Source organism: Homo sapiens, chromosome 19, assembly GCF_000001405.40.
Source record: "Homo sapiens chromosome 19, GRCh38.p14 Primary Assembly".
In the NCBI taxonomy this organism is placed as follows: Eukaryota; Metazoa; Chordata; class Mammalia; order Primates; family Hominidae; genus Homo; species Homo sapiens.
Window position 1 is genome coordinate 46,490,843 of NC_000019.10, and position 6,233 is coordinate 46,497,075.

General features: G+C 61.5%; 1 protein-coding gene across 1 annotated transcript; it reads right to left on the reverse strand.

Moving 5' to 3' along the window:
* Positions 1–348: 348 nt before the first annotated feature.
* On the reverse strand, positions 349–5,025 carry PNMA8B (PNMA family member 8B). Its single transcript, NM_020709.3, has one exon. It carries the CDS (start codon positions 4,621–4,623, stop codon positions 2,716–2,718), a length of 1,908 nt encoding a protein of 635 aa, NP_065760.1. The 5' UTR covers positions 4,624–5,025; the 3' UTR covers positions 349–2,715.
* Positions 5,026–6,233: the final 1,208 nt, after the last annotated feature.

The window sequence follows — 6,233 nt, forward strand, 5'->3', positions numbered from 1 at the left end:
CCCTCCCTAGGAATGTGGCATTTGAAGAAAGGTCTGAGTGACATGAAGGTTGGAGCCACGCCTATAGCCCAAGGAAGGGCACTCCAGGCTGCAGGAAGAGCAGTGCAAAGGCCATGAGGCAGGAATATGCCTGGTGTGTCCCAGAGACCTGGGTGGCTGAAGCCACAGGAGACACAGAGAGGGCAGTGGGAAACAAGGCAGAGGGTGAGATGGGGGTGGAGTGTGTAGACCTGAGCTGCGAGGGAGAGCTGCATGCGATGGCCATGTCCTGCACCAGCACCGTGCAATGCGGTAGCCACTGGCCACGTGTGGCTCTTGAGCACTTGTGACGTGGCTGGGAAGACTGAGGACATGCATGTGTATTTTTATTTAATCTTAATTACATTTAAATCCAATTTACCCCGTGTGATTACCTAGTTGAACAAAGCATGTCTAGACAGTCCTAAGAACTGCAGATATGACGGCACAGGAAGGAGACCTTGGGGGATCTGGGGAGGCGAGGGACGCAATCAGACCCCAGGTGTGACTTCTAAGAGGACGTCTCTGGCAGCCATGTATGGTGGGGGGACACAGGATGGAGGGAGGCAGAAAACTCAGGTAGGATGGAAAGCTGAGTCTGAGGTCCAGGGCACAGGTGAGGGGTGGAGGCTGGGGGGAGAGTGCCTGCAGCTGTGGCCTGGCAGAGTGTATCTGGGTGGAAGCTAGGGTGGGGATTGGCTGGGCGGGGTCTCCATGGGTGTCCAGGGGCTTCGGAGCTGAGGCTGGAAGTGGGGAGGCATCAGGGGTGGGAGTGGAAGCTGGCTCAGATCTGCAAGGGGTGAGATGATGCTGGGGGGTAGGGAGAGCCAGGCAGGGATCCCGAAGCAGCAAAGGACAGTGTATGTAAACCAGTGACAGGACAGTTCCCAGGTATTCTGGGCAAACCACAGTCAAGACCGTGGACATCTGTGGCCCACGCTCCCACACCCCGCCTGCCCCACTGCCCAGAGCACAGAGAGAGTACAGTGCTGAATTTCACTTTACTGGAGGATCCAGGTGACACAGGGCACAGGGAGAGAAGCCTAGGACTGCTACGGGAGAAGCACACCTGGGGCCCTCCCCACCCACAGGCAACACCACAGGCTGCTGTGCCCAGCTCAAGGTACACCCAGCCTGGTCCTCAGTGGGTGGGTCACTGTCCAGGGACAGCCTCCAAGCAGAGGGGAGCACCCACGCCCTGCAGCAGGTCTCAGTCAGCTTCTACATCTGGGTGTCCCTGACATAGGACTGGGACAGTCTGGTCTGGACTGTGAGGTCACACCCAAACCCTCCTATTCCTTCCCAGGGACAAGTGGGGCAGGGCCCCCTGGCACGATGGGCTCCTCACTGCCAGGGAATGGAAATTGGGACGAGGAAGCACACACATTGCCCCAGGGACAAGAAGGCATGAATGAAGGTGGGGTCCCGTGGAGACTGATATTTAGGTAAAAATCGAGCTCAGCCGGGGTTGCAGGAGCTGAAGCATACGGCACGGCACGGCACAGACTCACATACAACTCAAGCGTGCTTGGGACAGCAGGTTGTGAAGCCTCACAGCACCGGCCCGCCTACTCTGGAACCTCCAGGGCAGGGCTGGGGTTTCCTCCCCAGGTCATTTCATCCCCTGTAAGGAGGGACACGCGGCCGGCTTCTGCACTGCCCAGGTGAGCCTCTGTCCCTCACAGTGCCCTTCGGGGCCCCTCTGGCCTTTAATTCACTCAGGGGGTGAACCCAGGGACTTTCAAGTCTTTTAGTAAGGGCTGCAAGGCCAGCGCTGAGCGGTGGGTCAGCTCCACTGGAGAGGGGGCACCCAGGGGAGCCACAGCCTATGGGAGGGGCCAGGGCCCACTCAGCCCAGAAGAACCAAAACTGGATTTTAAGTGAATTACCCCAAATTGAACACCTCTGCAAATAATTAGAATGTTGGGAAACACTGCAGTCTGAGTGACAAATTCAACTTGTGGTCAGGGGCAGGTGGCCTTGGCCTGGGGCTGGTTCCTTTGTTATCAGGGGCGCCCCAGTAGGCAGGGCTGGCATGTGTCTTCCCTCTGCTCCCCCCTCCCCCTCCTCCTCCTCTTTCCCTTCTCCCACCGTTCCTCTCCCCTTTCCTCCTCCTCCCCTTCCCAACCGCCTTCTATCTCTCAGACTTTCCTTTCTGGAATCATCTCTTCCCCTGGCTGGGAGCTGGGGCCTCCCCTGGCTGAGAGTTGCGCCCTGACACGCGCTGCGCGGCTGGTGACTGAGCCTCCACCACAGACCCAGGGCCCAGTCAGACTGGGGTAGGGGCGACAGCGGCCTACAGCACCTGCCAGGCGCAGGCCCCGAGAGCGCCACGAAGAGCCCTGCTCGCCTCTGCAGGTGCCCGGCGTCCACACACACACCCCCTCCGGGGGCAACCCGGGCCCCCAATCCTGGTCCACTTGGCGCGTCCCCATCTCGGCCCTGCGCTGCTGCCTCGGGCGCCCACTTCTCTTTCCTCCTCCCATCCGGGCTTCCTCCGTCGGGATCGCTGGCGCCCCCGGCCTGCGAGGGCCCGAGAGGGGAACGTGACGCTGGCAAAACGCGGCCCGGGCGCGCTGTGAAGCGAGGAGATTGCGTCTGCGGAGGACAGGAAGAGGGGAGGGGAGGGCGGGGGCCACAGGCGGGCGGGTGCCCTGCGGGGCCTGCTCGCAGCCTGGGCGGCTTCTTGGGGGGCCACTAGCGGCATTTAGGGGGCAGCCTCCGGCCCCGACGGGCCTTCTTCCCGCGCGCGGCCTTGGATCCAGTGGGCGCCTGGCCCTTGGCCTCGCCTGCCCTGGCATGGGCCCCGGCGCCCGCGCTCCCCTTCTTCTTCCTGCTTCCTGCGGCGTCGTCCTGGGCCGAGCCCCGGCTCCCGGCTTTCTTCTCGGGAGTGACGCCCCGGCCTCGGCCTCGGCCGCCCGCGCGGGTTTTGCGGGCCCCGGAAGCGGTGGGAGGCGCGCCGGCCGGAGTCAGGCCCCTGGGGGCCGTGCGCGCCCTCTTGGCCCGGGGCTTCCTGGATGCCCTGTCCTCCGGCTCCGACGCCTCGCTCTCGGTGTCCTCCGACTCCTCCTCGGACTGTTCGTCCGAAGCCTCCTCCGACCCCTCGTTGGACCCCATGTTCTCCCGGGCGGCCAGGAGCGCCAATACCTCCCCCAGTTTGCCTTTGGGGTATTTGTACTTCCCGCCTTCCCAGGCGTTTTCTTTTTCCTCCTTCATCACCTCCGCCATGTCCTGGGCAGCCAGGAGCGCCACCAGCTCCAGAAGACCCCCTTCGTCCTCACGGTGCTCGCTCCAGCCCCCGAAGAGGCCACGCCCAGCCTTCTTCGCCTGGGGAGGGAGATCCGGCTGCGCCAAGGTGGAAATGCACTCCCGGAGGTCCCCGTCATCCCCGGCCTTGCGCAGGACCACGGCGTCCACCTCGCGGCCCGCCTCTTCCACCTTCACGCGGGTCCCGTTAGTGTCCTTGGACATGACGGACAAGACCTGTCGGAGGGGGTCTCGCTTGTCTTTCTCGTCGCTCCAGCCCAGCGACTCGATAACAGAAGCGATTTTCAACATCTCCTCCCGGGCCCAGGGGTCCGACGGGTCGGTATAGGCCACAATGGCCACGAACTCAGGATTATCCAACTCCTCTGTTTCTTGGTCCCCACTTTCCTGCGAGTCGCTCTCCGAAGTGTCGCTGTCCACCGGCTCCTCGTCCGGGGTGTCTCTCACAGCCAGCAGGGCCACTAAGTCGGGGACACCATTTTTGTCTTCTTTGGTGTTCAAGCGGATGGATTCGGCCCCAGCTGGCTCCTTCTCTGCCTCTTCTTTCTTCGATTTGTCGGTGACGGTGACCAGAGCCAAGAACTCGCGGGGACCGTCTTCTTCCCCCTCGGAGTTGCAGGGCGCCCACTGCCTAACCAGCTCCCTGGCAGCGGCCTGCAGCGTGGCGTACAGCGCGCTCTGGTCCTCTTCTCCGCTCAGGTCGCCCTGGTCGATCTCCTCGATCACGATGCCCAGGCTCTCGTCGGAAGAGTCCTCGGCCTCACTCCTCGCGGGAGCAGACGGCCGTCCTCCTCGGCTTCTCTTCTTGCCCTTCTGGGTCAACCTGTTGCGTCTGGTTCTGTTTCTGCGACCCCGACGGCCCCTCCTTGGGTTCCTGGCTGCCCCAAGAAGCGAGCCAGCCTGCCCTGTTACCTCCCCAGAATCCTGGGCCTGCGTCTCCGAAGCGGGAGGGGTGGGTGCCTCCCCGGGGGTCCCAGCCTCCGCGGCCTGCGTGGGCCCGTCATCCAGCAGCAGGCGTCTCATCTGCCTCAGGACCCTCGTGTCCTGCGCACGGTCCTTCCACAGAACCCTCCAGACCCCATCCTTGCCTGGGATCTCCCTGGGAATGGCAGCGTGATTGACGTCCTCCACAAACTCCACCAGGGCGGCCTGGGCCTTCTCGTTCATCAAAGCCTTCATGTGTCGCAACCTGAACGTGCCCAGGGGCAGGAGGGTCGGCTGCAGGACGGCTTCGACGTCTGCCTGCTCCAGGCCCTCCGGGATGCCGGTGACCAGCAGGGCCCTGTGCGCGTCCACGTCCAGGCTCCGGCACCAGTCCTGCAAAAGGCTCATGGCCATGGTGCAGCCCCCTTGGCGCTGATCTTGGGGCAGCAGGGAGCCCGAGATAGGGGTGGGCTGCAGCGCACGGTGTCAATGCAACCCTAGAAAGCCACTTGCAGGGCTTAGAGTCCCGGTTCCGGTGAATGTGGCAAGGCTGGAGTGGGGCTCGGGGCTCGGGGGCTCTAGCTGCCTGCTGGCCGGCTGGACGCAGTGACCTTCCCCCGGGACCCCTCTCCAGAGCTGTCTGAGGATCCGCGGGGGGCTTACGTGTCTGCTTTCCAGGACAGCTCCCTCCCTCTCTCCCTGACACAGGCCTGAGTGACTCGGCACCGCAGCCAGGTGCAGGGGGGCGGCGCCGAGTGCACCTGGAGAGGCGTGGGAGGTAGCAGCCGCAGCTTGCCTGGCGCTCGCGCCGCGTCTGAGCGCGCACCCTGGGCCTGAATCTCAGCAGTTCCGCTGCGACGCGGCTGCTCGCGCGTGCGCCTGCGCAGAGGGAGCCGCACACCCTCCCCTGTCCCCCGCCCAACCGTCTCCATGGCAACGGTGCAGCCTTGAGCTGGGGTCTGCGTCGCTGTGGCCTGAGACGCTTTTCTTAAAGGTCCCGATGACAAGGACTTGGGGCCTGGAAGCACCACTTTCATTAACCAGCAAAAAACAAGGCCGAAACCACAGAGGGCCAGAAATCACTCAAGGATACCCGACCTCATTCAGGGGATAGAGGCCTCCTTCCAGAGGGTACCGGCATCACTGGGGGTTACAATTCCCCCTTCCAGGGGCCAGGTGGAATTCAGGATTATATAGGCCTAAATCAAAGGGCACTGGCCTTGCAGCGTAGGACCAGGACTTACTCGGGATACTGGCCTCATTCACAGTATATGGGTCTCAGTATCAAATAGGGGGGCCCAGGCACCACCTGTGAGCAAGACACCATTCAGGGTATATGGGCCTCACTTGCAGGGTACAGGCCCCACTCGATGGGACCGGCCCTCACTCCCATACACGTTCCTGTATTCTGAACTATGCATGCACAATAAATCCTGTGGTTTTGCACACGCTTTGAGCATATGTATGATTGTGAGACCAGGCATGAATTTTGCAAGAAAGCATTTCCCTTGACTGGGACAGCAGACTGGGGCGTGTGAACGTCAGTCATAGCTACTGTAAACATGCATTTGCTTCTCTGTCCCTTGTTGGCCATGAGGCTGTCCCCTACTCTATATGAATCTGGCTCTGTAGACCAGCTGGTAGGTTTATATCTCAACCATCATCCCTACCTCAAAGGGTTTTGTTTTTTTGTTGTTGTTTGTTTTGGAGATGGAGTCTTGCTCTGTCACTCAGGCTGGAGTGCAATGGCACAATCTTGGTTCACTGCAACTTCCGCCTCCCATGTTCAAGCGGTTCTCCTGCCTCAGCCTCCTGAGTAGCAAGGATGACAGGCCTCCCAAGTAGCTGGGATTATAGGCATACACCATCACGTCTGGCAAGTTTTTGTATTTTTTGTAGAGATGGGTTTTTACCATGTTACCCAGGCTGGTCTCAAACTCCTAACCTCAAGTGATCTGCCCGCCTCAGCCTCTGAAAGTGCTGGGATTACAGGATTACATGGTGAGCCACCATGCCTGGCCTCA

Bases quoted from the DNA above. Each gene is read 5' to 3' on its own strand.
- PNMA8B (NM_020709.3), bottom strand. From the start codon at position 4,623: ATGGCCATGAGCCTTTTGCAGGACTGGTGCCGGAGCCTGGACGTGGAC.